The sequence below is a fragment of the Homo sapiens genome, chromosome 6 (genome assembly GCF_000001405.40).
Source record: "Homo sapiens chromosome 6, GRCh38.p14 Primary Assembly".
Lineage (NCBI taxonomy): Eukaryota > Metazoa > Chordata > Mammalia > Primates > Hominidae > Homo > Homo sapiens.
Genome location: NC_000006.12, coordinates 85,482,201 through 85,508,314, shown reverse-complemented (window position 1 = coordinate 85,508,314; position 26,114 = coordinate 85,482,201). Strand labels below are relative to the sequence as shown.

The 26,114-nt window shown below is 41.3% G+C and overlaps 2 protein-coding genes across 45 annotated transcripts in view, besides 1 other annotated feature; one reads left to right on the top strand and one right to left on the bottom strand.

The window, feature by feature from the left end:
- Positions 1–2,819, top strand: part of SNX14 (sorting nexin 14) — an 88,363-nt gene extending 85,544 nt beyond the window's left edge. For 35 of the 43 annotated variants that reach the window (XM_047419128.1, NM_001350543.2, NM_001350539.2 and 32 more), the window contains 3 exons: positions 256–347; positions 1,026–1,082; positions 2,310–2,819. In XM_047419128.1, the coding sequence (XP_047275084.1) occupies positions 256–347; positions 1,026–1,082; positions 2,310–2,348 (188 nt within the window). In that variant the 3' untranslated portion in view covers positions 2,349–2,819. Of the gene's footprint in view, position 1; positions 348–1,025; positions 1,083–2,309 lie in introns of those variants that run through there. The other 8 variants (NR_146774.2, NR_146775.2, NR_146779.2 and 5 more) reach the window with 3 other exon arrangements.
- Positions 6,836–7,077: a silencer, noted in NCBI's record as "fragment chr6:86210956-86211197 (GRCh37/hg19 assembly coordinates)". NCBI's record gives its function as "represses an EF-1alpha promoter that drives an FKBP-Casp9 reporter gene in an ReSE screen in K562 erythroleukemia cells {active_cell/tissue: K562}" and the evidence as "EXISTENCE:reporter gene assay evidence [ECO:0000049][PMID:32094911]".
- The window catches only part of NT5E (5'-nucleotidase ecto), a 45,702-nt gene continuing 32,118 nt past the window's right edge, over positions 12,531–26,114 (bottom strand). The window contains exons 4-9 of one of the 2 annotated variants that reach the window (NM_002526.4): positions 22,883–23,080; positions 20,826–20,980; positions 18,716–18,821; positions 17,658–17,807; positions 16,138–16,338; positions 12,531–14,474 (exon numbers count right to left, since the gene is read on the bottom strand). In NM_002526.4, the coding sequence (NP_002517.1) occupies positions 14,311–14,474; positions 16,138–16,338; positions 17,658–17,807; positions 18,716–18,821; positions 20,826–20,980; positions 22,883–23,080 (974 nt within the window). In that variant the 3' untranslated portion in view covers positions 12,531–14,310. The remainder of the gene's footprint in view (positions 14,475–16,137; positions 16,339–17,657; positions 17,808–18,715; positions 18,822–20,825; positions 20,981–22,882; positions 23,081–26,114) is intronic. The other variant, NM_001204813.2, reaches the window with a different exon arrangement.

Below are 26,114 nucleotides of genomic sequence, written 5' to 3'. Positions count from 1 at the left end.
GCATTTCTCAGAGTTTGCATTATGCCTTGTGCATTGTGAATCTCCAAAAATGGGATACATGATACTGCATTTGTCAACTTGACCATAGAAACCTCTTATCCAGGAGCCTCTTATAGAAACACTGGTTTGGGGAGTATTGATTTGCAGTTTTTGCCTAGTATCTGGGAAACAGGGTGGTGATTTTGCTTTATGATCCAGTTAATGGTGAGTCACTTTATAATATAAAATTATTTCACATTTGGCCTTTTTGTTTAGATCTGTTAGTCAAGTGTATTGGTGAAGAAACCAAGTATGAAAGCATCAGACTTCTGTTTGATGGCTTACAGCAACCAGTACTCAACAAGCAGGTAAAGCTCATTAAAGCTCGTAAACTCATGCTGGCTAGGTTTGGTGAACGACGTAGTAAGGTGTCTGGTAACTCATTAGTTGTATAAATGACACTATACTAAACCAAGGCAATATAATTTTAAACATTCAGATAGAAAAAAAGTTTTATTTGAGTTACTCTTTTTGTTTCAGTTTTTTCTAAATAAGATGAATTATTTTGATTTAAAATTAATATATAGTAATTGTAGAAAATTTGGCATAGAAAATTCATGAAATACAGTAAAAAATTAAAAATGGATAATTCCATTATTCAAGTCACATAGAATAACCAGTTAACATTTTTATGTTTATGGTTTATGTAAACTATGTATAAGCTTTATATATTCTGTTGAGATCTCAATACAGTTGTGATTTTGTGTTCTTGTTTTTCTAAAAATTCAAATATTTAACATAAAAATGAATTAATGAGGCATAATGAAAGTGTCCTCATGCAAACACATGTGTACTTATTACCTATTTTGAGAATAGAACATTATTGATACTACTGAGGCTACTTTTGTGCTTGTTTTATATTATCAGTCCCATTCCCTGCCTTCCCACTTAGAGGTAACCACAATCTTTAATTTTGTGTGTATCATTTTTATGGTTTTTGTGTTTAGTGCCTTAACATTTATTATTATTATTTTTTGGTGCTTTAGCTGACTTATGTTTTATTGGACATTGTGATACAGGAACTGTTTCCAGAGCTCAATAAGGTAACTGAAAAGCAGTAATTTTATTCATGATTTTCTTAATGGTATGCTGACATTTATTTTAATTAGGGACATAAATGTAAGAAAACCCTTGTCTCTGTTCTCTGTGGTTCTTTAAAAAATTAACCTCAGCAAATTGCCTTTTGTATTTTCTTTATTAAACATGCCCAAACAATTCTGGGGGACAGCTATTGAATAGCTTCTGCTTTGACTTCATCCCTTTTTAATTACAAGCAGATAGGGACCCTATATAGTCTTTCCAGGGGAAGAAGTGAGTGTAAGTCCTAGCACTAGAATAGGCCAAGCTCAGTGTTATCGTCTGCACCATTGTATGCTGTGTAAGTCAGAAACTAGAGTATTTTTGAAGCAAGTTTTATGTAAACCCAAGCACAAAATGAACTAAAATTAGAGCATGGTCATATTATTACTATGTTGAATCTTGAGGATTTTGAGTTTTGAGCAAAGGTTTAAGTCATTATTTTCTGTCTTATTTTTTGACTAATCCTTTTGGTTGGATGAAACAACTGTTGTTCAGTGCTGTGGTATTGAAATGAAGTGTGACTTTTGTAGAGTAGAGGAAACCAGATTTGGGCTATTTACTTATTATAAACTTTCAAGTTGACTGGGCACGGTGGCTCACGCCTGTAATCCCAGCACCTTGGGAGGCCAAGGCGGGGGGATCACGAGGTCAGGGGATCAAGACTATCCTAGCTAACACGGTGAAACCCTGTCTCTACTAAAAATAGAAAAAGTTATCTCGGTTTGGTGGCAAGTGCCTGTAATCCCACCTACTCGGGAGGCTGACACAGGAGAATCGCTTAAACCTGGGAGGAGGAGGTTGCAGTGAGCCGAGATCATGCCATTAGACTCCAGCCTGGGTGACAGAGTGAGACTCCATCTAAAAAAAAAAAAAAATTTTCAAGTTATTGTGATATTAAGTGCATATTAAAACAGAGTGGCAGTTACAGACTTTGTATCTTTAATTTTCATGGGAATCAACAACAGGAAACCTTTAGCTCTGTTTGAGACTTCATAACAGAGCTGTCATTAAACGTTGCCTTTTTTCTCATATCTAGAACATAGATATTTCTCACTCCATATGCCAGCCAATTTATTTTGGTTTACAATATATATGTCTTAGGTTAGAATTTTAATACACTAGAGCTGTTAGGCAATTTACAAATGAACCTGTGTCTTGTCTTCTATTAAATGGATTTATTTTTACTTTAGGTACAAAAGGAAGTTACCTCTGTGACATCTTGGATGTAAACACTTGGATTTGGTATAGAATAACCCATTGAAATTTCTGCTGTGCGAGGGTGGTAGAAATTTACTTTTTTGGGTATATTCTTATATATATTATGTACATCGCTGTCTGAAATTTTAGTTATTTTTTGTTTTTAATAAAGACTAACACAAACTTAATGATTAAAAGTGATTGAGTCTCATAGTCTTTCATTTGCTAGCTGTGATCCAAATTTTATTAGAACATAAGTCACTTGTTATTGCCATTTTTAAAAGAGAAAATTCATAATGATGTTATGGCAAACAGATAAGACTGATAAACTTCGTATTGTATAGCTTTGAAAATAATTATGCCTAGTATGGAGAAACAGGAATAAGATCTGATTTTCTTAGAGTTAATATATTTTAGTAGATTGGTTTTCCTTTTTTTTATTTTGTACATAGTTAACTGTGTATCTATAAATAAAGCATCCTATATGAGTTTTTAATAATAAACAAGGGATTTGTCCTTATTCTTTCTGGGTGTCTGACGGGTTGTAGCCCTGTTCAGTTTGAAAACTGAATACTTACAGATACTCGTGATTGTGTGGTTGCCTCTAAGTTTCACTGAATTGTCTGTAACTATCAATATATTCCCAAAGCTCATACAAACAATTTAGGCAAGTAGATTTTTGGTTTTTGTTGTCTGTTATCTCTTCAAAAGAAAAATGTAGAATTACTTATACTTCTTGAAAGTTAACTTAAAAGATTATTTTTAAAGAATCAGTGTTTCAAAATTTTTGCAATTCCTTACCATGTCGTGCAGTTATCCTTGAAACAAGTTTGTCAAGATTGAGCATTTTGCATTAGGTTATTGGCTCTAGTGTTTATTCAGAGTATTTATTGAGCATCATCCATGTATTAGACACTAAGCTGGGTAATGTGAGAACACTGAATATAATTTAGAAAACTAACAAATTTAATTATACCATTCATTAATTTTTCTGAAGATTTCAAAAAATGATTGTTAGGTGTTACAAATTTTTTTGAAAGATTTTCTTAGCAGTTCTATTATATTTTTAAATACTTGAAAGTTCTAGGATATGTGAGTTTCCATGAATCAATGGTTTAATACCAAGCCCTAATAAACAGTTACTGATTTCTCAGGGGCAGGTGGGAAATTGATCAAACGATTCACATTTAAATCCATAGCATTTTGAATGTTATTATTTAAAATGTTATAGGTAAACTGGAAAAATAAAATACTTTACAGACTTTTTTATGTCATCCTTACCTATTCTCCTTTAAATTGTGATATTCTCTTTATTAAGATAAGAAAAAATTTGTGGGTGTATCATGTCTACTCGAGTTGCCATAACAAAACACTACGCAATGGGTGGCTTACACCACAGAAATGTGCTTCTCACAGTTACGGAGGCTGGGAAGTCTAAGATCAAGGTGCCAGCAAATTAGGTTCCATACTGAGGCCTATTCTCTTGGCTTGTAGGTGGCTGGCTTCTCGATATGTGCTCACATGACCTCTTGTGCACATGTGGAGAGGTAAAAATAAATCTCATTCTTTCTTCCTCTTCTTAAAAGGCCACCAATCCTGTTGAATTACGGTCTGACTCTTCAGACTTCATTTAACCTAAATTACCTCCTAAAGGCTCTATCTTCAAATATAGTCATATTGGGATTTATGGTTTCAGCATATGAATTTTAGGAGGATATAGTTCAATCCATAACAGTAGGTGAGCTCTATTTAAAGAAGATGTTATGTATAAAAGACTGAAGAAACAAATGAGTCTGTACATATAAAATTAATAAATCACATTGTGAAAGGGGAAAGGAATTAAAATACAATCCCTATTTAATTTGCCAGGCATTTTATATATATCATCACAGCAACTCTGAGGTAGTGTTTCTTCTATTTTATAGGTGAGGACATGGGGGCTTGAAAGAGTGGTAAAATTAGAATTTGAACTTAATATCTCTAGTCTGCATGTTCTTGTCAATGTTGCACCATGAAAGGAACTTGTTTTCAGATGTAGTCACTCTCTGGATCCCTTTAAAAAGTATGCTTCCTGATTTATTTCAAAAATTTACTTTGCACATTCCTTTCTATTCATTTTTGTGTGTGTCCTCTAGTGTATGAGCTTCATGAAGAACACATTTTTAAATGTGTTTACATAAACAGAGCTGTCAGTTTTTCTGGTTAGGGGAGATACAATGCAGTTAAATATATGAGAAAACACTTTGAAATTTATAAAGAACATTGTAAGATTGTGTTAAAACTATTAAATTTTTTTTTCTTCAACTTTTAAGTTCTGCGGTACATGTGCAGGATGTTTGGGTTTGTTACATAGGTAAACGTGTGCCATGGTGGTTTGCGGCACAGATCAACCCATCACCTAGGTATTAAGCCCAGCATCCATTAGCTATTCTTCCTGATGCTCTCCCTTTCCCTGCCACCTCCTGGCCCCCAACCACAGGCCCCGGTGTATGTTTTCCCTGCCATGTGTCCATGTGTTTTCCTTGTTCAGCTCCCACTTGTGAGAACATGCAGTATTTGGTTTTTTCTTCCTGCGTTAGTTTGCTGAGGATAATAGTTGCATATTAGAAGATTCTGTGAAGTGATTGAAAGCATTTAAATTACCATTTATTGACTTCCTAAAAAATGTTATATTTTTACAATAGAAGTATAAACAGAAGTCTAATTTGCCCACTGTTGTTCTTAGCAGACTGTATAATGACATAGGTACCAGTTATAATTTCAGATACAATCAACATGAGAGTAAAAAATGACTGACTGAATGAAGAAACAAATGAGTATGTCTTCTTAGTCCACTGTACAATAGTACTCCTTTATTTTTCCTGATGCTCTCCCTTCCCCTGCAGTTTTGCTTTCCAAGGTTTCAGTTACCCAAGGTCAACCAAGGTCTGAAAATAGGTGAGTACAGTATAAATATTTTGAAAGACCCCACTCACATAACTTTTGTTACAGTATGTCATTGTAATCGTTCTATTTTGTTAATCTCTTACTGTGCCTAATTTTACATGAAATTTTATAGGTATGTATAGGAAAAAACAGTATAGTCATGCGCTTCATAATGATGTTTTAGTCAATGATGGATTGCATATATGACAGTGGCCCCATAAGATTGTAATGGAGCTGGAAAATTCCTGTTGCTTGGTGATGTAGCCAACTAAATGTCATAGCACAACATTTGTGGTGATGCTAGTGCAAACTAAACCTACCATATTTCCAGTCACATAAAATTCATAATAAACCACTGTGTTACTGGCTTATATATTTACTGTACTTTTTAGCATTACTTTAGAGTGTACTCCTTCTACTTATAAAAAAAGAGTTGACTATAAAACAGCTCGAGATAGGTTTTTCAGGAGGAATTCCAGAAGAAAGCATTGTTATCTTAAGAGAGGACAGCCCCATGCACGTTACTGCCCCTGAATACCTTCAGTGGCATAAGATGTGGAGGTGGAAGACAGTGATATTGATGATCCTGTCCCTTTGTAGGCTTACGCTAGTGTGTATGTGTCTTAGTTTTTTGTTTTTTAAACTTTTATGAGACAGGGTCTCTCTTTGTTATCCAGGCTGGAGTGCAGAGGCGTGATTGCAGCTCACTGCAGCCTCAAACTCCTGGGCTCAAGGGATCTTCCTGCCTCAACCTCCCAAGTAGGCAGATTCCCAGGTGTGAGGCTGAGGTGGGAAGATCCCTTGAACTCAGGAGTTTGAAACCAGCCTGGGAAACACAGTGACACCCTTTCTCTGCAAAAAAAGAGGAAAATTAACCGGACATGGTGCCACATCGCTGTAGTCCCAGCTACTCATGAGGCTGAGGTGAGAGGATTACTTGAGCCTGGGAGGTCGAGGCTTCAGTGAGCAGTGATTGTGCCATTGCACTCTACCTTGGGCAACAGAGTGAGACCCTCTCTCTAAAGAAATTAATTAAAGAAAAATAAATTTAAAATTAGAAAAAAAGCTTATAGTATAAAATATAGTAAAAGAAAATACTTTTGTACAGCTGTACAATGTGTTTGTGTTTCAGGCTAGGTATTATTACAAAAGCGTCAAAAAGTTAATGCTACTCTCACTCATTTGCATGTTGTGGGCTTTCCTGAATAGGATGGGGATGGGTAGAATTTTAAGCAGTGATCAGATAATCAAGGGACCAGCAGCCTGCGTTATCAGTGCTGTAGTTCTAGAGAACAGCAGTTACTGAAGTTACATTACTAGTTTGTTCCTTATCACTTCTATTCTCCAGTAGTAGATGGGATCTCTTTCACAAAGAGATAGTTTTACCTAGAGATAGATTTTTCTTTTTTTTTTTCTTTTGAGACAGTCTCACTCTGTTGCTCAGGCTGGAGTGCAGTGGCATGATCTCGGCTCACTGCAGCCTCTGCCTCCTGGGTTCAAGCGATTCTCCTGCCTCAGCCCTCTGAGTAGCTGGGACTACAGGCACCCGCTACCACCCATGGGTAATTTTTGTATTTTTAGTAGAGACAGGGATTCACCATGTTGGTCAGGATGGTCTCAAACTCCTGACCTTGTGATCTGCTCATCTCGGCCTCCCAAAGTGCTGGGATTATAGGCATGAGCCACCCTGCCTGGCCTCAGAGATAGATTTTCATTGAGGAATAAGGCAAGGCTAGATGAAGAAGACTTAAGCAGATTAATGGTACATCTATGTTGTAAATGAGCAGGAATGATGCTATTTGTATTTCTTAGTGTGACACAAAATTTGTGATCACATAATCACAGTTTCACAATGTGATGAGTTATTGAAATTTTCAGGAGCACTGTTTGTATTAATGCTAATAATATAAAGTCTGTGCATTGTGATTTTACCAGTAAAATAAAACATATGTTTATCCTTCAAATGTATAGCCTTCCTTACTTCATCTGTGGAGTTTAGAGCTGAACAAAGAATCAACATCCAATTAAGAACATCAAGCTCAGTTAAAAATTTGATTAGTCATATTTATTTATTGCTATAAAATAATACTTTGAAATATTTTAGGGGCTGATTTCATTACTCACATGCTTACAGATTATTTAATGATTTGTCTTACCGAAAAAAAGGTTATTTTGTTTACTTCTCTGGCATTTTTGACTTTCATGGAAGTCTGGATATCTCACAAGTGAATATACATTATTGGAGGGGGAAGGTTAAAGTGTAGTTTTTAAGAAAGACTTAGAAGGTACTTTTTTTTGTTTTTAACGTTATTTTTTTACATGTTTTTGTACATGAATTCATATTCATTTTCATAGGGGCCGTTTTTGGGTAATTTATAAAGAAAAGGGGTTTAGTTGGCTCATGATTATGCAGACGGTTCAGGAAGTATGGTGATGGCATCTGCTTTGCTTCTGGGGAGGTCTCAAGAAACTTATAATCATGACTGAAGGCAAAGGGGGAGCAGACACATCACATGGCCAGAGCAGGAGCAAGAGAGAGAGAGCAGGGAGTTGCCACACACTTTGAAAAGACCAGTTTTTATGAGAACTTACTGTCACTAGAACAGTACCAAGGGGATGGTACTAAACCGTTTATGAGAAATCTACCTCCATAATCTAGTGACCTCCTACTAGGCCCCACCTCCAATGCTCAGGATTATAATTCAACATGAGATTTGGGTGGGGACACATATCCAAACTGTATCAGAAACCAAAAGGCTGGAGTTCATTCCTCAGTCAGCCTTCTATCTTTATAAATTTGGACTTGAACCAGGCTCAGCAATTTAGATGTTCCCATCTCTATGTAGGCAACAAACCAAGGCACAAGAATAGTCTAATGTCCTGGGTTTTAGCTGTGAACCCAGCAGCTCTCCAGCCTTAGTCTGGGACCTGCAGCAACAGGGCTGTGTACTAAGACTGTTCTTGTGGTGGGATTTTAGCCATGCCTCACTTACCTTGCTGTCCATTTTCTGGGATAGCTTTCCAAGTTGCTTGATTTGGGGAGCAAGCTAATACCCTTCTGATAATGTCTCTGTTTACAGAATATATTTTTTTCCAACCAAGTATCCTAATGAATAATGAGCCTAGTATAATTTTCACTGTTGTAACTAATATGCCAGCCATCCTTGTCATGGATTAGAGTTAATTATTTTTAGATTCTAGCTAGCTTATTTGTTAACAATGTCTTTCATGATGTATTTAATTTAGGTTCTTAGAGGCCTCAGAGGCACTACTCACTAGAAATTTGAGATCCTCCCAATTTATTATAAAACTCCAAAGCTCCTTTTTGATTGCATTGGATAACAAAACTGGTTCCTTTTGCTGTATAGGAGCTAAAGGAGCTTAAAATGTCTTCTATTTTATCAGCAAAAAACAAAAAAAAAACAACACCATGAATTATAACCTCTCATTTACAAAGTATATAGGACACAGAGCTGCAGGTTGCCCCAGGGCTGCTGCAGCTGATTATGGAGTTGTACTGAGGACTGGTAATCAGTTGAATTGTGTCCTCCAAAGAGATCTTGAAGTCCTGTCGGGGGGACTTCCATCCTAACCCCCCAGTAACTAAGAATGTGACCTTATCTGGAAAGAGGTTTTTGCAGACAATTAAGATGAAGTCATTATAGAGCGGGCACTAATCCTGTATTATTGATGGCCTTATAAAAGGGAGATTTGGACACAAATATAATCATGTAAAAAAAGAGGATGTAAAGACATGGAGAGAATACCATATATAAGCCAAGGATGCCTTAGGCTAGAGGCTACCTGGTGCTAGGAAAGAGGCATGGAAGAGTTTCTCTGTCACTGCCCTCAGAAGAAACCAACACTGCCAGCTTGACCACAGACTTCTAGCCTCCAGAACTGTTAGATTATACATTTCTGTCATTTAAGCCAACCAGTTTGTGGTACTTTATTGTGGTGGCCCCAGGAAACGAATACAGGAACATTTACCTAATCTTGGCAAGCAGTTATGGCTTCTTGCCAAACCAAACATCCATAGGACTACATACTCACAGAGGTAGCAACTTCTTCTGAAGGACACCTATTAGCAGCCTAAACTTTCCTCTAAGAAACCCAGCCTACTCTTGTGTCAGACTGCTGAAGGCAGCTACTTATATAGCCTGAATGTTTATTTTCCCCCAAACTCTGTATGTTGAAACCTGATCATGAATGTGATGATGTTGGAGTTTGGGCCTTTGGGAGGTGATTGAATCATGAGGGTGCTGAATGGGGTTAGTGCTTCCTATAAATGAGGCCCCAAAGTCACCTGGCCTCTTCCATCTTCTGATGACACAGTCAGTTGGTGCCGTCTATGAATCAGGAGGCAGGCCCTCACCAGACACCTGCTAGTGCCTTGCTTTTGGATTCCCCAGCCTCCACAACTGTGAGAAATAAAATTTCTGTTATTTATAAGCTACCCATTCTATTGTATTTTGCTATAGCAGCCTGATATCGTTTGGCTGTATCCCCACCCAAATCTCATCTTGAATTGTAGCTCCCATAATCCCCATGTGTCTTGGGAGGGATCCGGTGGGAGGTAATTGAATCATGGGGGTGGGTTTTTCCCATGCTGTTCTTGTGATAGTGAAAGTCTCATGAGACCTCACGGTTAAATAAAGGGCAGTTCCCCTGCATATGCTCTCTTCTCTGCTGTTATGTAAGATGTGCCTTGGCCCCTCCTTCACCTCCTGCCATGATAGGCCTTCTCAGCCACATGGAACTGTGAGTCCATTAAACCTCTTTTTCTTTACAAATTACCCAGTCTTGGGTATGTCTTTATTAGCACCGTGAGAATGGACTAATACAGTAAATTGGTACCAGTAGAGTGGGTTACTGCTATTAAGATACCTGAAAATGTGGAAGTGACTTTGGAACTGGGTAACAGGCAGAGGTTGGAACAGTCTGGAGGGCTCAGAAGAAGACAGGAAGATGTGGGAAAGTTTGGAGCTTTCTAGAGACTTGTTGAATGGTTTTCACCAAAAAGTCCAGGCTGAGGAGGTCTCAGATAGAGATGAGGAACTTACTGGGAACCAGAGCAAAGGTGATTCTAGCTATGCTTTAGCAAAGAGACTGGTGGCATTTTGCCCCTGCCCTAAAGATCTGTGGAACTTTGGACTTGAGAGAGATGATTTACGATATCTGGCAAAAGAAATTTCTAGATGGTAAAGCATTCAAGAAGAAGCAGAACATAAAAGTTTGGAAGATTTGTGCTCACTTCAGTGGCACATATACAAAAAAAAAAAATTGAAAGATTTGTAGCCTGACGATGCAATAGAAAAGAAAAACCCATTTTTGCGGGGAGAAGTTCAGGCCTGCTGCTGAAATGCACATAGGTAAGGAGAAGCCAAATGCTGATCATCAAGACAATGGGGAAAATGTCTCCAGGGCATGTCAGAGACCTTCATGGCAGCCCCTCCCATCATAGGCCCAGAGGCCTAGAAGGGAAAAATAGCTCCCTGGGCAAGGTCCAGGCACCCCCTGCTGTGTCCAGCCTAGGGACTTGGTGCCCTGCATCCCAGCTGCTTTAGCTCCAACCGTGGCTAAAGGGGGCCAAGTTGCAGCTTGGGCTATGCCTTCAGAGGGTGCAAACCCCAAGCCTTGGCAGCTTCCATGTGGTGTTGAGCCTGCAGGTGCACAGAAATCAAGAATCAAGATTTGGGAACCACCTCCTAGATTTCAGAGGATGTATGGAAATGCCTGGATGTCCAGGCAGAAGTTTACTGTGGTGGCAGGGCCCTCATGGAGAGCCTCTGCTAGGGCAGTGTTGAATGGAAATGTGGGGTTGGATCCCACATACACAGTTCCCACTGGGGCACTACCTAATGGAGCTATGAGAAGAGGGCCCACTGGGGCACTGCCTAATGGAGCCATGAGAAGAGGAGCTGTTAGAAGGGGGCTGTGAGAATGGTAGATTCACCAACAGCTTGTACCATGTGCCTGGAAAAGCCACAGGCAGTCAACGCCAGCTCATGAAAGCAACCAGGAGGCCAGGGGCGGGGTGGGGGCGTCTATACCCTGAAAAGCCACAGTGACGTAGCTGCTCAAGACTGTGGGAACCCACCTCTTGCATCAGCATGACCTGGATGTGAGACGTGGAGTCAAAGAAGATCATTTTGTAGCTTTAAGATTTGACTGCCCTGCTGGATTTTGGACTTGCATGGGGCCTGTAGCCCCTTTGTTTTGGCCAATTTCTCCCATTTGGAATGGCTGTGTTTACCCAATGCCTGTACTCCCGTTGTATCTAGGAAGTAACTAGCTTGCTTTTGATTTTACAAGCTCATAGGTGGAAGGGATTTGCCTTGTCTCAGATGAGACTTTGGAATGTGGGCTTTTGAGTTAATGCTGGAATGAGTTAAAACTTTGGGGTACTGTTGGGAAGGCATGATTGGTTTTGAAATGTGAGGACATGATATGTGGGAGGGGCCAGGGACAGAATGATATGGTTTGGCTGTGTCCCCACCCAAATCTCATCTTGAATTGTAGCTCCCATAATCCCCACGTGTCATGGGAGGGACCTGGTGGGAGGTAATTGAATCATGGGGACAGGTCTTCCCCATGCCGTTCTTTTGATAGTGAATAAGTCTCATGAGATGGTTTCATAAAGGGCAGTTACCCTCCATGCATTCTGTTGCCTGCCTCCATGTAAGATGTGCCTTTGCTCCTTCTCCGCCTTCTGCCATGATTGTGAGGCTTCCCCAGCCATGTGGAACTGAAAGTCCATTAAACCTCTTTTTCTTTATAAATCACCCAGTCTCGGGTATGTCTTTATTAGCAGCATGAGAACGGACTAATACATAGCCCAAACAAAGACAGCTAACGTGGTTTAACGTGTCTGACTGATTGAGGTATAACGAAACCAACTCATTGTGTTATTAGTGTACTTGAGGAAGATCTTAGGCACACAGCCAGTACAGGCAAATTAAAATCCTCAACATTAACTTGGAAGTGTTTATTTGTAGGAATCAGTACTGGCCTCAAAACCATTTTTATATCAGATTCTGTATATCAAAGCCACCAAATTTAGTAGTCTTCCTTAAAATACCACTCACTTTTCTCTCCTACTTAAAAATTGGATGCATTTTTCTTCTCATTTTAGGGGTGTGAGGGGCTATGGAGGGTTATCAGATGGTAAGTGGCTTATGATCAAGAGAAATGATACCAGTGAAAATCTGTCAGAGTTTTCCTTCAGTCATATTGTCTTTAGTTGGCAGGTGTTTGAATGAGAGAAGAAATAACTATCAAAGACCAAAGAGCTTATCTTCAATTTTATTGTTGGGAATCTACAATTGCAAAGTGGTTCAAAGTCATTTCTTATACCACTTCACAATACACACACAGATTTAGGAAACTTAAAAAAAGTTCTTTAAAAAATTCTAATAGGATTTACCCTATTTTACTGGCCAAGTGTAAAAAATAAACCCTAAATGTGACTTTCTCTAATTTTCCTTGTACAATCTTATTGACATTTTTTATAGCTAATCCATATATGCATAGAACCGAGGCTATTATTTTGCTGCAACAACTTTTATAAAAAGGTTATGAAGTTTAAAAGTATATTTTGTATCAAGAGTACTTAATATTTGTAAACACTAAGAAACAAACATACTTCCTATCAAAACCTCTAGCTGCCATTTGCACACTGTTTTTAAGGTGAAGCCTCCCATTTCTTGAATTACTTATGCAGAGCTGAGCAGGCTCATGTGGTTCCACTCCCACGTTAAGTATTTGTTCTTTGGGCATAGGTCATTTCATCAGCATGGGTATTTTCTGACCACCCACTCAGAGGGTCCCACTTTCCAGCAGAAGTTCTCATATCTGGGCTTAAGAATGATTTACAGTGACTGTTCAGATTTGGAGGCAGAGCGACTTAAAAAATGTATACCTCTTCCTAAAGTCATTTATTTTCTTCGAGAACTCTGGACATTCCATAACTGGGTGTGTAGTATGAGTAGAATGAATTCAGTGCTAGCCTCTTGCTGGAGAGGGACAAGTGCAGGTTTAGAATTACAGCTTATGTTAGAAGGTTCTCTTCTCATGATACCTTCATGTTAGAAGAAAGAGGACAGAGGCAGAGCTGATGGAATCTCATAAAATAACAGCTAATGCCGTGTGTCAGGCACTATGCTTAACAAGTATCTGTTTAACATGTGTAAATGCTCTTTAGCTCTTGCTTTTCTATAATATAAAACAGTCCTGGAGTCCTGTTCTTCCCCTTCCTTTCTCTCGTGTCCTTTGACTGTCTTTTGCAGCCTCTGGCCTTTCTCATTATCTACTACAGCTTGCTACCTGACTCATCAAAGGCACATGGGTGTTGCAAGAGAGGATGGTATCCTGTGTTTATACCATTAAACTTGCTATTATAACAGGAGCTATAAAGTGAAAAAATAGAGACAAGAAATAAAGCAGAGATTTGTCATCCATGAGCTTGGGGCTATTGATAATTATGAAGAGAGGAGATATTAAGTATTCTGAACAGTAACTTGATATAGTTGAGAATGCTGGACTTGAGTTCAAAAGACCTAGGTCTAGGTCTTGGATCTGTCAGCATTAGCTGTATGGTCAAGTCAACCCTTTTTGAGCTTCAGTTTTTTCATCTGACAGGTGGGAAAAACATCTCTCTTTCCTACCAAAAATAAGTTGTGGATATCAAATGAGACAGTGTGCTTAAAACTTCCTTGTGAATGATAAAATTTTATGTAAACATAAGCTGTTTGATGGATTAGAAATGGATATGAAGAAGAAAAATATGGTTTAAAATTGTTAGTAAAATTTCATTAAAATTTGGACACGTAAACTTAACATAGTTGGCTTTCTCCTTATAGGGCCCTATGTTAATTTTTTTTCTAACTCACTAGGTTGCTGACCCTGAGTAATCATGTCTGTCTCTTCATTTTATAATGCTCTAACCTTCAGCTTCTAGGAGCCTGTAAAGATGGTTTTTGCTGTCACAAAGCCAGGTCCTAAAAGGCAGATTTGAATCTCACTTGAAAAAATGCAGTTTCACACATTAAAGGCAAGGAGAATTTTTGGCTATTGGTATAAAACAAAGATCACTGCCCAAAGTGAAAGAAATATTAAAGAAAAGCTTCCATGGCAGTGACTTCCTGTGGAAAACTTGATCCGACCTTCAACTGCTGGATAAATTACTTTCATTTTGGAGATATATGTAGAAACCACGTTGATATCTTGGTCACCTAGAAAAACATATACATTATTTTAACTACAGAAAAGGTAATTATCAATCAACAGTAAGGTAGTCCTTTGTAATTATAAAAGGGAAGCAATTTCATAAGCAGGGGTAAAGTGTCACAGAAGACAAGAACGCTAGTGATCATAAGTACAAAGAATTTGATTGCTTTTTCATGCTCCAGATGTAAAATGTGTCTGTTGTTCAATATTGGGTAATTGGGGGAAGTAGAGTTGCCTCAGCTCTGTGATGACTCTAGAAAGAGGTCATTGACATCATAGCCTTTGAACCACTCCAGAACAAGGGCATTAGGGAACTGGGTCAAGAGCAATTAGTTGAGAGATAAAACTGGCTTCCTTTTGTTTGCCTGCCCAATAATTATTTTCATGTAATTGATGATGGGACTTGGGGGATTTCCTTTACCAAAGAGAGGAGAGGATAAATGCTAATTGCCTATAGCTACAACAAACCCATGTTTGTTGGGAACCCATGTTCTGTTGGGAACCCAACAGAATTTTATTTTAAAAATATCACTCCAGTACTTAAGAACCCTTCTCTCTTCAGTGGTTTTCACCTCTGGGTGTACACTAGAATCACTGAAAAAGAGTTTAGCCCCAATCCAGTTAACTTAGAATCTCTTAAGAGCTGCGGCCGAGCCATTGGTATTTAATTTAAAATGCTCCTGAAGTGATTCTAATGTATAACCAGTGTTGAGAACGCTTAGGTCCAGGGCTTCCTTAGCCTTCTGCATGAGCTCCTCTCTCTAACATCCTTCAGTCTAGGCTTGAGTGGTGGACAGCTGATGGCTATCAGCCTCTTTGTCTCATGGGGCTTTTACGCCTGCCCTTCCATCTTCTGTCACGGAAGGGACAGAAGAAGCCAGCACCTTTCCTCCCAGGAAGGGCTGCCTCCTTTGGTCTGGTCCTGCCCTCCACGCTCCTTGGAATAAGTAGCTAAAATGACAGGTCCAGCATGATAAGACTGAGGAAGATCCTGGTGGAACTACCCAGAGATGCCAAGAAGCTGCTTGTGTGTCTTGTAAGCATGCTGGTCTCTGCCCTAGGAAGAGGAAGGGGAAGTGTGTCCTATGTCAGTGGTCTGTATGCACATAATGTGACTCTCAACAGAATTTCTAAAAGTGAGGCTGGCATATAATGTCCCTCAATGCTGCCAGAAGTACCAACTGACATCAAGTATGGTTATTCCTATGATTTGTACCACCAACCCACTGTGCTGAAAGGGCGGCGCTCACCCCATCCACTTCTACCTGACTGATTCACACAGAAACTTCTTCAAGAAAGAAAATTTAAATGATTTAATGTGATGGTTTTCCATATCCTAAAATTCCAGAGGTGTGATATTTCTGTTAATGCAAAACTCACTTATATTTCACAATTTAAATAGCTGCTTAGATGTAGTTAAAAGAATTTTAAAACATTTTTGATTTACAAATGTTTTGTCTCTGGGGTTGGATGAAGGCATGTGTGTGCTCGGGGATTGACAGGGTACATATTCCTCTCTGCTGTGCTGTGCTGCTGCTTTCCAACAAGCAAAGCAGGAGGGAGTCAGCAATACAGGGAGTCACTTTGCCCTCCTGGCACCACTAGTAGCTCCCCTTCTTGGCCCAATTTTGTTGTTCTTTAGAGAAAGGAAGAGACAGTCATGCTTACCAGAGTCATGTCTTAATAATTCATCTTTTATCATCTGGAACCCATCTCCACCATTGGCCAGGAAGTTTGGGAGGATCACCTTATATACCTCGTCCATTTTGAGAGGGTCATAACTGGGCACTCGACACTTGGTGCAAAGAACATCTAATTTGACTACTCTGTCTCCAGGTTTTCGGGAAAGATCATACACCACATGGATTCCTAGAAAAGAAATGAATCTGTTTTCACCAGATCCAAAGGGAGATTTCTGTTTCCTAAGGAATTTTGGCCAAACTCTACAATTGGGGCATGGGGCTGTGGTTTTTCCTTTGGTTTAAACCTGAGTGAAATTTTGTCAAGAGAATTGTGACATTGCAGCCACCCTTTATCCTTGAGTCCTTACAGGACATATGAGAACCACTGGAAGGAAAACCAGCTCTGGACCAGAATAGGCAAAGGGTGACTCTACATGGACAAAACCACATCTTTTTCTGTTTTTCCCTTAAAATGCTGAATTGGTCTACTAAATTGATTCAATGGCCTTAGAAAGTGAGAAACAGATCAGAGGCAGAGAGCATTTTACAATTTTGAAGACCATTAAATGGTAATCATTTGGGATTTGGTGACTTCCACAAGGCATAGAGCTATGCAGTGCTTTGCTAGAGCATCAGAAAACTGCTTTTCCCTCAACTCCCTTCTGGGAAAATGGAGGATGTTTGGGTTGCCCCATAGGCATTAGGACAGGGCCCCACTGCCTTCTGTAGCCCTTCAGTCTCAACAGCAATGTGTTCTGCAGAGGAAAACTCAGGAAAGCAATTCTATCTGTCAAGCGGGACCACAACCTAAGGTTAAAAAAATGAGGCCAGATTATGATTTCCAGGTAAAATAAGATTGCTTTTAAAGGATTAATTCACTGGACTGTGGAATTATTAACAAAAGTGTTTCAGAAGCCCTTGGCAATTTAGGAAGCATTTATTTCCATTCAACTTTCACTGCAGTCCATGAGATAAACAGGAAAGGTTTTCTCCCTGTGCCCAGAGGGGTTGAGAACTTGCCCCAGGTCACAGTGGGACTAGAACCAGGTGTTCAGGTATGTCTGTGCAGTAGGCTGCTCCTTCCAGGAATCATCCTGGTTAATACAGATTGGACAGCATTCCTTTAAATCTTGGCATGGTTCCAGGCAACGATGAGTAGAACAGAGGAGAGGATTTAAAAAAAAAATAATTGAATGCTTAAATAAGATTTTATTAGAAACTAGACCTCAAAGCAGGTGACCTGCTTAGAGGGCCCATCTGATGTCCAAATCAGACTTGGCAAATACTGCTTATTGCCAGGGCTTTGGGGCTTTGGGGCTTTGACCCCAACCTAATCTTAGTGGCTCTGAGAGTCCACAGCCATTAAAGGGTAAGGTATTGGTGTTGGGTCGGGAAAAATCCAAACCAGTTTGACCACAGGAATTTTGGTGAAGGGGAAGCTGAGCCAACCAGCAGGAAATGCCATGTCACTTTGGATGGGCCAGCCCTACAGGATGGGTGACTTACCGCCCACCTGCAGGAACTCTCCAGTGGACTGGCCGTAGCGGTGCACGCTATGCTCAAAGGCCTTCTTCAGGGTGGAACCTTTTAACTGGACTAGGTCAAATGTGCCTCCAAAGGGCAATACAGCAGCCAGGTTCTCCCAGGTAATTGTGCCTGAGGGTAGTCACAGATGAGGCAAGAAGGAAAATAGCTTGAGAAAATGCTTACACCATGACCAGTTTCCCTCAGCGCTGGGGGAAGAAATGAGGGGGACATGGGAAGCTTATAGAGCATCATTAGCTATGTCTAAGTGGTTCCTGACACTGAGGAAGGGAATGAGTTTAGGAGGCCTCTGGCCCTGCACTCCACCACTGGGCAAGATGGCGGGAGCTCACAAATGGCTGTGCCTCAGAAGTTCACCATGCTCAGTCTTAGATCTGCTAGCTTGGGGCTGGATCTCCAGTAGTTTGTTTTGCATTGTTCCGTTCCTCCAGACAAACAATGTGCCCCTGCAACCTGTCCCTGTTGTCTGACAATGGGATGCGTTTGGGGCCTTATACTGATACTGATTGGTTTTCACAGTAAATCAGGGAGGGCTACAAGAGTGTCTTGAGTATTTGTGTAGTTGATTTGTTTTGCCATATGATATAATCTTGGATATCTGTAAATATACTAAGGTAACATTTTAATCCAGTGGTATGTCTTTTTCAGGACAGAAGATTGGTGATTTTGTCTCTTTTCAGATGCCAAGGTGGTGACTGTTGTTATTTTGCATAAATCAGAAACAACTAGTATAGCTTTGTAAGTCAGAAATTCAGACCAAGTTTGAGTTCCACTAACCTTACCTGCAGCTTCTGTGTGTGAATACATATAAGAACACACAAGCTTGTGTGTGTCCTTCAGGCTAGGTTTTAGACTTTAATAATGGCTAACCCTAATTTAAAGGACTGACATTCTGGTACATGGCTGGCAGCAGAGATGAACTGAGGCTGCACATGGGTGTGTTCAGGGCAAGAACCATAACAGAAAAGGAGATCAGAGAGAGAACATGACACACTGAGGAGCTGGGCCTGGGAGCATACCATTGTTGCGTTCATCAATGGGCGACCGGATACCACCTCCATTTAAAATGCACATGGATACGTGGTTCCAGAACATTTCATCCGTGTGTCTCAGGTTGTTGTTAATCTGCAACAGTAGCACAGATTTACACTAGTTACTCTGGCTCTTCTTCCTTAGGATCAGCTCCAGGAATCTGGTTAGCTCTAGTGAGGAAATAAAGCTGCTTTTCACCTGCTGCTGTGTTCCCAGGGATCTCTCAACTATAATTAGAACTAATTTTATGCTCCCAGAAGTAAAAATATACTGTTACCAGTCCATGTCAAACTCTTATTTCCCCCTCCTAAAACTCCCATACTGTCAGGCCAGGTGGCCTTAGCAAAATGGTCTCTCGGTTGTAGCCCTGGTGTCGGGACTGGGCCTCCCATGCAAGGTGGCCTGCAGAGTCACTCCTGCACAGGCTTCTCCAGGGCAGGCCATGCCCTCTGCCTGATTCTGAGGGCTTGGCCCTAGAGCCTGCTCAACACCAGACCTCATGCCAAAGAGAACCTGGCCTCCACGTCTATGTCTGCAGCTGATTCCCAAGTTGGCAATTTTGGAAAGACAGAGACAGCCTTTTGAAGCTGGGGAGAATCACATCCATTCTTACTTTTATTTTACAAAATATATGTTTAGTTATAAGAAATAAAATGAATATATTCTCATTTAGGAGACAAAAAGCCGAAAAAAAAAAAAAAAAAAGGCCAGGCATAGTGGCTCACACCTGTAAATCCCAGCACTTTGGGAGGCTGTGGCAGGTGGATCACCTAAGGTCAGGAGTTCGAGACCAGTCTAGCCAACATGGTGAAACCCCGTCTCTACTAAAGATACAAAAATTAGCTGGGTGTGGTAGTGGACACCTCTAATCCCAGCTACTTGGGAGGCTGAAGCAGGAGAATCGCTTGAACCCAAGGGACGGAGGTTGCAGTGAGCTGAGATCATGCCACTGCACTCCAGCCTGGGCGACAGAGCAAGACTCAGTCTCAATAAATAAATAAATTAATTAATTAAATAAATAAATAAATAAAAAGCAAAAGCTCTCCTTTGTCCTAGCCTCTTTAACAGAGTGGATAAGCACTGCCAACAGCCTGGGTTGTTTCCCTCCAGACTTCTCTTAACATTTATATACCAGCTTCTCCTTAACTACTTCTCTGGCATTGACTGCATGATGCTGAGGAGACATCATGAGTCTGGTCTTGGCATGAGCATGATTGTTGTCATTTACACGGCAAACATTTATCGAGTGCAGTTGTATCCTGGGCACTGGGCAATGCATGCCAAGCACTGACAGAAATGACTTCCCTGGGTGCAGGCTGTGAGCCCATGGAAGTAGTAGTCCGACATAGGAGACCTTGGCTCAGTAAGGCCCCCAGAGAGCTACCATGGCCATTCCGCCTGGTGACAAGTAGACGGGCTTGTTCTTCATACCTGGTCTTGCTCAGCCATAGGACTTGTTATTACCATTAAAACTGTGTGTTGTCTTTCTGTGCCTGTGAAAGAGGTTCCTGTCACACAAGGCCAGGGTTCTCTGGAGTCAAGTGAACAGATGAGTGAAAAACAGTCTGGCCAAACAGATATGCTTTTATCTATTATGTTGATATCTCCAGGGTAGCAGAGTTTGTGCATTTGCATCATCTTACAAAAGGAAAGCAACATCCAAAATTCAGACATCTAAGAACACCTTAAAATAAAGGTTTTAGTTCTTGTAAAGCAGTATGTTGGTGGTTACCTGATCTCCTTCCAGCACCTTAAGAAGGTACTGAGTATGAAGCTACATCAGGCTTTTGTTTAGGCACTAATGTTTTATTTATTTTTCATATTTATTTAATTTTAGAGACAGAGTCTCGCTCTTTTGCCCAGGCTGGAGTGCACTGGTGCAATTATAGCTCACTGCAGCCTCCTGGGCTCAAGCCATCTTCCCACCTAAGCCTCCCGAGTAGCTGGGACTATAGGCACATGCCACCACCCTGGCTAAAAATGTTTTGAAATCCCTCATTCTGTAGCTATCGATCTATCCCTTCTCGCATCCTTCCTTCCTCTTCCCTCTTCCTTTCCTTCCTCCCTAGCATATGTCCACTCCTGCTGATGACTTACCATTGCATCACAAATCAGGTTGCCCATGTTGCATTCTCTAAAGCGGCATGATTGAGAGGAGCCATCCAGATAGACAATTGTTTTCCCTAATTCCTGGGTAGAATAATTATCCAATTTTATCCTCCATTTGTTAATGTCTGCTTTTATGCTTGGATCTAGAAGAAAGAAAAGAAGGTACCCTACAATTAAATCTCACACTGGGCTAAATTCTGGAAAAGGAATGAAACATCATCTATCTTACTTGCTGTGAGAACATATTTGTTTACCATATTTGTGTGCATTTTGGTTTTGACCATGAAATTTCCTTAGGAACTTCTATTTTGTTTCCTGGTAATAAGACCTGGAATGCATCTTAATTTAAGAATATTCTGAACATCTACCAGCTCATCACATCTGTATGAGCTACCCATTGGCCCACCTGGGACAGCATTAGTGGTGGCGGTAGGAGCTCTGAAAGGCCCAGGGGCAGTTATAAAAGGCCTGCTGAGGTACAGCTGGGCTATCGCTGTCAGTGTGGTCCTGGGCCCCTTTCCCATCTGGCTACTGAGAGGGCTGTGTTGTGACTACAGGCTCACCTGGGTGCTGTGCACCTCATCTTCCTGACATGATCATAGTCAACAGAAAAGGGAAAGTGAGAGACAAGCACAGGAGTGTGTTCTGTACACATATGAAAATCAATGATATAAAAATGTATTTTTACTCTGAGACTCATGTAGGGAGACGCCCTGAAACTATTGCTACGGAATAAAAGATGAAATGCTCCTGATTATTGTAAATACAAAATTGCATGCAGGATTGTGTAAAGACAATGCCAGGTTGGACTGCCACAATGAGCCAACAGCACGTGATGTGCTTCCCCCTGCAGAGAGCCTACAAATGGACGTGCAGTCAGGGAGGTTTCCCATCACCAAGATTCCTATCCCAGAAAAGCAGATGTTCATAGCTCTGGGAATGGAATGTGACCCTTGTGGGGAGCCTATAAACGGACGCATGGGGGGGGCCTGTCCATATGGATAAGATAGGGCTATAAACACGCTCATCTTGCCGCCGCTCTTCTAGGCCTCTTTAGGGTTAAGGCGTACTCCCCTCTGAGAATTTCTGGTCTAACTGGTTATCTAGCTTCATGTCCTGTTTCCATGGATTATTTGTAACCAGTTTTTGTTGCAATTGTTACTGCTGATTAATATCTTGCTAATCATAGGTTATGGAAAGACTGTGTTTCTGTTCTAAGGCTCTGTTAGAAATTACTGACGCACACACTATATTGTAAATTCTTATCTCATACTGTACTTCTACATACAAATGTACTGTACTTCTACATACAAATGTTATGTTAAAGAATTACTTCATCCCCATGTGACCATCTCACCTCATAATCAAATGACCCTAAATCCCTCACTAACGTACCCCTGCCCTCACTAAACTTAATAATAAATGCTGGTATATCCAGTGCATTGTTGGCACCGCAGGACCAGAAGGCAGTGACCCCCCTGGACCCAGCTTTCACTATCTTGTGTGTGTCTATTATTTCTCAACCTGCCAATCTGCCTAGGAACAAAGAGAGAGCCCCATTGCATTGCGGGCTGCTGGCCAGATCCCGCAATAGACTCAGACATATAAATAAGGTACTCCCTCATTTGATAAAGAAACTGAGGCCCATGAGATTGGGCAACTTGCCTAAGGCACACTGCCTCTAGTTGGGGGGCCAGGACTTGAGCCCCGCTCTGCCCAATTAGAACCCCTTTAGTTCAGTTATCTCTCCTGTAAACACAAGCTGAGAGTGGCTTTGGCATGTCAGGATCAAGATTTTAAAAGGCAGAGGAAGCAGTGATGTATGGAATCTGATGCTGAGAAGACTTGAAGAAGCAAGTGGGGCTTTTGGCATTTGGGTGTGTTTTAAATCTATCCATGAAGAGGGCAAACTCAAGGAAGAAACTAAATTCTTCAACAGTATTATAGTCTTTTCCTGAAACATTAAAGGAAAAAAATGGGAAGGAGCAAAATATCCAGCCATCTAAATTTTAGATTGGTGGAACATTCCCCTGAACTTCACTTACCTTCAGGAATGCTGCTGTTTAGAAGAATGGGATTTCCATGGGAAGAGATGACGTTTCCTCTTTCATCAAACTCGATCTTCAGATAGCCTAGGTATTTGCCAAAAGCATAGGCCTGGACTACAGGAACCTTCCGCCCATCATCAGAAGTGACTATGAATGGGTACTTCCCAGCAGGCACCTCTTTGGAAGGTGGATTGCCTGAAATAAAAGAGCCACAGCTGATCAAGTCAGCCCTTGTACATACATGGCTGGCTGTAGGCCAGCGGGCTACTGGCTGGATGACAGAGTTTTAAATTGATGATTTGCCATCTGTTGCTCTACATAGCTAGTCTTTCAGAGCCCTATCTGGGCATTTGCCCATTTCCAAATGCCCTTTTGGTACATGAATCCTACCATTCTCAACTCAGCAGTCATTTACCAAGCTCTTCCTAAGACCCGGGCATTGTGCTTGTGCTGTGGGGCACACAAAGATGGAACGCCGTGAAGAGTATCCTCCAGGTTCACTGTGGCTCCATTCTCACTAGCCAGGTGGATTAGCCAAGCCACTTTACCATACTGTAGTTCAGTTTCCTTGCCTATAAGGTGGGCGAAATCCATTTTAAACAATCCCTATTTTACAGGGCAGCTGAGAGGATTAAATATCTAAACTCCCTAGCTGGGGTGCCTGGCACATTGTAGGTGCTCAATAAATATACAATAAGGGTGTATTTTTTCCCTTATAAGGGAATAGCAATCTCTAGAAACCCCAGACATATACTTCGGAGCTTAAAATCTTTAGTAGAAGATGCAGAGATGACAAAGAGCTGTTCTTGGCGTTTGCTGCTAAATTCTGCATCCCTTCAGGTGTCTTTTAGAAGAGCCACATTCACCTTGAGGGCCAACCAGCAGGCACACTCCTGACCCCAGCCAGCCCTCACACTGGTCAGGTTCTGCAGGCCTCTGTCTCAAAGGGGAGATGTGGGAGCTGCTCATCACCCAGAGGCTAGGAGGCCCACCACTGCCTGGAGTAGTGGAGAGTATGCAGGAGGGTGGAGAGTGTCGCCATACAGGGAGTAGGCAGCCCAGCCTTTAATCACTTAGCACATTTAAGTTCCTTAACTGTAGACCTGCTTCAGGCACTCTGTGGCTTATATCTTACCTCCAAGGAGACAATGGCACAGTTCAGCTGTTTCAAATTAGAGACTATGGGACAGATTCATTTGACCCCATTACTGTTTCTAGCATCTCCCTCATCACACCCATGGCTAGTCGTTCCTATTAGATATTTACAGAGGGTCCAGAGAACTTCAGCACATGTTGATTACACACATGGACCTGTTACGAGAATCGGCCATGAGCCAGGCCCTGGGCTTAATCTCATTTAGTCCTCCAAGCTTCCCATGGGGCAGGTCCTCTATTATCTGTACTCTGCAGACAAGAAAATTGATTGTCATAGACAGAGTACCCACGGTCACACAGCTGGTATGTGATGAGGGTTGGGAGGAGGCAGACTGAAAACCCAGGCTGTGAGGTACTGGAGCTTATGTTTTCTCCACTACCCACAAGCCTACCATGTATTTTTTTTCCCCTAAAGTCTGCAAGCTGGTTGTGAAAGGACACTTAACAAATCAAATGCAAACCCAGGATTTGCATCTTTGTGTCCCAAGCTCTTTCTGGGCTTCTCTTTTCACATAAGACAAGCTGGGTAGCATGTTATGAAGAATCCAATCCTGCCATGCTCCTATGTCAAGAGCAGCCCCCCTTTCAGCTCAATAACCACAGGGCAGAAGCACTGCAAATACCAACGCTTCACAAGCAGGAAATAGTTGTTGCCAATAGTAACATCCAATTTTCTTGCTGTCACTGGGGAAAAAAAAGAAAAAGGTCTTGGAACTTTACTTTTACAGAAGCATCCAACTTGAGATCCAGTGAAAGCCTTTGTTCCATCTCCATCTGTAGCGGATGCAGATGTTGTCTGTGACAGTGGCAGATAACGTGATAATGGAAGACCAGCATGGAAGGTTAACATCCTACTCAGCCTCATTCTGCTATGTGTTGGTCCTCCTTTGGGCAAACCTGGTGCCTGGTTTTTATTTCAGGGGACCAGGTAGTTATGGCAGCCTCTGTCAGTTCCTCTGATCATAGATGCTGGGGCGGTGCAGTTCCCCAAATGTCCACAAGGTGGCGGAGAACGCCCCGCCCAGGGAGAGAAAGCACTAGTTGCAGATATCAGGAGTCTGTCAGTTTCCTGGAAACCCAAGAGCTAGGCAAGCCTGATCTTTTTTTGGCCTTTATCTTTCTGCCTTCCGTAGAAATATCTGAGCTTAAAAAGAATGTAAAAGTTAGGAATCCAGTAATCCGGTCAGATGCCTCAGTATGCACTACTATGCAAATAGGAGCCAGCAATCTCAGCTCCAGAAAACATTCATTCATTTGGAAAGACCTTCATGATCCTTTTGTCATTGGCATATTAAATGAGCTTAATCAGGAACAAGAAGGAAGATGCTATCCATGCAGCTGGGGCGATAGCTGGTCTAGTTTGGCTAATCTCTGCCTCCTCCACAGCTGAGCCCTTTCTGCTCCCCTTCAACTCGGCAGTCCCAGGAAACCACTGACACAGAAACCAGTCCAGGGCTTCACATTTTCCACACCATTCCATGCCGTTCAGCCGAAGATGTTCGTGCCCAGAATATTTTTTCCACAAAGAGCTACACATCTGTCTTTAGAAACCTGACTTGTCATCTTGGCAGGAAGGAAGATGTTCACCAGAACTCTATTCCAGTCATCTAGCCGAGAATTCATCCAGGAACCAAACCCAATGGGGCTGTGGAGTTGTGGACTGACATCTGGAGTTTATAAAGCCTGCATTTTCCAGCATGGTGTGGGTGCTTGAAGGAACCTCAAAGGACTCTGTCCTGGGAACCAAGGACTGTGGTGAACCTAAGTGTGGGTCTGGACAATTGCCCTTCTCGTGTCACATGGTAATAGAAGTGCCAGGAAGCAGCCTTTTCTTTCTCTTTCTTTTTTTTTCTTTCTTCCACCTTCCCTCCCTCCCTTTTTTCCTTTTTTCCCTCCTTCCTTCCTCTTTTTTCTTTCTTTCTTCCTTTTCTCTCTTTCAACAGGGTCTCATTCTGTTGCCCAGGCTAGAGTTCAGTGGTCTCCAATTCCTGGGCTCAAGCAGTCCTCTCGCCTTGGCCTCCAAAAGTGCTGGGCTTATAGGCATGAGCCACGCACCTGGCCTGATGTGGTTTTC